Below are 3,535 nucleotides of genomic sequence, written 5' to 3' on the forward strand. Positions count from 1 at the left end.
TGTTAGAACTAATACAAGAGAGGCCGAGCGTGGTGGCTCACGCCTGTAATCCCAGCACTTTGGGAGGCCGAGGCGGGCGGATCACGAGGTCAGGAGATCGAGACCATCCTGGCTAACACGGTGAAACCCTGTCTCTACTAAAAAATATAAAAAATTAGCCGGGCATGGTGGCGGGTGCCTGTAGTCCCTGCCACTCGGGAGGCTGAGGCAGGAGAATGGCGTGAACCCGGGAGGCAGAGGTTGCAGTGAGCCGAGATCACGCCACTGCACTCCAGCCTGGGCGACAGAGGGAGACTCTGTCTCAAAATAAATAAATAAATAAATAAATAAATAAATAAATACAAGAGCACAGAATATTCTTTCTATATTTCTTTTATTTGCACTTATTTTATAATGGTTATTTTTCTGTGCTGTGTTGTTTCTAACAATTGGCTGACAAGCATACTGACAGAGCCAATTGTTTCTAACAATTGGTTTCAAGCACACAGGACCCTGAAAGTCAGCAGAGCTTGGTAGTGGAGGCTGAGAGTGGGGATGGGATGGGCAGAAACAGTTACAGCTTGGATCCCTCAAAAACCTTAAATGGGGCTGGGTGCAGTGGCTCACGCCTGTAATCCCAGCACTTTGGGAGGCCGAGGTGGGCAGATCACTTGAGGCCAGGAGTTCGAGGCCAGCCTGGCCAACATGGTGAAACCCCATCTCTACTAAAAATACAAAAATTAGCTGGGCGTGGTGGCTGTGCCTGTAATCCCAGCTACGTGGGAGGCCGAGGCATGAGAATCACTTGAACCTGGGAGGTGGAGGCTGCAGTGAGCCAAGATCGTGCCACTGCACTCCAGCCTAGGGGACAGAGCAAAACCTTGTCTCAGAAAAACAAAACAAAACAAAAACCTTAAATGGAAGGCAGGCGATGGCAGTCAACATCAGCCAGAGTGTGTGTGAGCAATCCTAATGTTCTGAGGCTAGAATGGGGTTGGTGGAGGAGACACAACAGAGCCTTTAACGCTGCTCTTGACATTGCACTGCACCACATTGAAGTGAGGCTACAATGAACCAGAGGGATCCAGGAAGCCCTCTTCCTTATCAGCACCTCTCCACGGACTGCAGGCAGAGCAGAAAGCTGTTTGTCTGACGGTGGCGGGAAGGTCATTCCAGATGAAGAAACCAGATTAAAAAACAGAAGCACAGGCTCCTTTCCCAAGAGCAAAGCTAGAGGAGGGACAAAGCCACGTGAGGAAATGAGGAAGGGTCAGGCATATGTGGCTTGAAAGAGAGGAGAGCTCTAAGTATATCAGAAAAGGCAAGGGGATGGCTCTTCAGGACTCATGTCGTAATTCTGTCTGCCCTATCCTGTTTCAGAGATGACAAGGCCTTCCTCCTGGCTCTCTCTTTAGTAGGCACCTAAGCACTTTGACTTATTGTTCTCTCATTCAATCCATGCAACAACTCTTAGAAGTCAGATTTTTTGACAGTTTTTAAAATTTACTTATAAAAATTTATTTTTAATTTTCGAGGGTATGTAGTAGGTATATATGTTTATGGGGCATATGGGATATTTTGATACAGCCATACAATGTGTAATAATCACATCAGGGGAAATGAGGCATCCATCCCCTCAAGCATTTATCCTTTGTGTTATAAATAATCCAATTATACTCTTTTAGTTTTTTTTTTTTTAGAGATGGAGTCTTGCTCTGTCACTCAGGCTGGAGTGCAGTGGCACGATCTTGGCTCACTGCAAACTCTGCCTCTCAGGTTCAAGCAATTCTTCTACCTCAGCCTCCCAAGTAGCTGGGATTACAGGCATGCACCACCATGCCTAGTTAATTTTTGTATTTTCAATAAAGACGGGGTTTCACCATGTTGGTCAGGCTGGTCTCAAACTCCTGACATCAGGTGATCCTCCCCCCTCGGCCTCCCAAAGTCCTGGGATTACAGGCATGAGCCACTGCGCCTGACCTGTATGTCTCCTTTTGATAAATGTCTATTCAGATATTTGGTGAGCCACTGTGCCCGGCCAATCCAGTTTTAAAATGGGCAAAAGATCTGAATAGACATTTATCAAAAGGAGACATACAGATCAGGCACAGTGGCTCATGCCTGTAATCTCAGGACTTTGGGAGGCCGAGGCGGGTGGATCACCTGAGGTCAGGAGTTCGAGACCAGCCTGACCAACATGGTGAAACCCTGTCTCTACACAAAAAGTTAGCTGGGCATGGTGGTGCATGCTTGTAATCCCAGGTACTTGGGAAGCTGAGGCAGGAGAATTGATTGAACCCAGGAGGGGGAGGTTGCAGTGAGCCGAGATTGCACCACTGCACTTCAGCCTGGGCTACAGAGCAAGACTTCATCTCAAAATAAATAATAATAAATAAATGAGGCCGGGCACGGTGGCTCACACCTGTAATCCCAGCACTTTGGGAGGCCGAGGCAGGCAGATCACGAGGTCAGGAGATCAAGACCATTCTGGCTAACACGGTGAAACCCTGTCTCTACTAAAAATACAAAAAAATTAGCCGGGCATGGTGGCGGGCGCCTGTAGTCCCAGCTACTCAAGAGGCTGAGGCAGGAGAATGGCATGAACCCGGGAGGCAGAGCTTGCAGTGAGCTGAGATGGCACCACTGCACTCCAGCCTGGGCGACATCGAGACTCCATCTCAATAAATAAATAAATAAATAAATAAAATTAGATTATTAGATTTTTTCCTATAGAGTTGTTTGAGCTCCTTATATATTCTGGTTATTAATTCCTTGTCAGAAGGATAGTTTGCAAATATTTTCTCCTATGCTGTGGGTTGTCTCTTCACTTTGCTGTTTCCTTTGCTGTGCAGAAGCTTTTAAACTTGATGTGATCTCATTTGTCCATTTTTGCTTTGGTTGCCTGTGCTTGTGGGGCATTATTCAAGAAACCTTTGCCCAGTCTAATGTCCTGGAGCGTTTCCTCAATATATTCTTTAGTAGTTTCATAGTTTGAGGTCTGAGATTTAAGTCGTTAATCCATTTTGATTTGAGTTTTGTATATAGTGAAAGACAGGGGTCTAGTTTCATTCTTCTGCATATGGATATCCAGTTTTCTCAGCACCATTTGTTGAAGACGCTGTCTTTTCTCCATTGTATGCTCTTGGCCCCTTTGTTGAGAAATGAGTTCACCTTAGATGTATGGATTTGTTTCTGGGTTCTCTATTCTGTTCCATTAGTCCATGTGTCTGCTTTTATGCCTGTACTATGCTGTTTTGGTTACCACAGTTCTGTAGTATAATTTGAAGTCAGGTAATGTGATTCCTCCAGTTTTTTTGTTTTTGTTTTTGTTTTTTTTCTCAGGATAGCTTTGGCTATTTTGGATCTTTTGCAGTTCCATATAAATTTTAGGATTGTGTTTTCTCTTTCTGTGGAGAATGTCTTTAGTATTTTGATAGGTATTGTATTGAATACATAGATTACTTTGGATAGTATGGACATTTTAACAATATGGATTCTTCCAATCCATGAACATGGACTATTTTTCCTTTTTTAATGTCCTCTTCAATTTCTTTCA

The 3,535-nt window shown here is 44.6% G+C and overlaps 1 annotated feature.

The window, feature by feature from the left end:
- Nucleotides 860-1,488: a transcriptional cis regulatory region, noted in NCBI's record as "candidate enhancer chr11.1006 targeted for multiplex CRISPR interference". NCBI's record gives its function as "positively regulates ADM gene expression with high confidence in K562 cells {active_cell/tissue: K562}" and the evidence as "EXISTENCE:mutant phenotype evidence [ECO:0000015][PMID:30612741]".

Source organism: Homo sapiens, chromosome 11 (assembly GCF_000001405.40).
Source record: "Homo sapiens chromosome 11, GRCh38.p14 Primary Assembly".
NCBI lineage: Eukaryota > Metazoa > Chordata > Mammalia > Primates > Hominidae > Homo > Homo sapiens.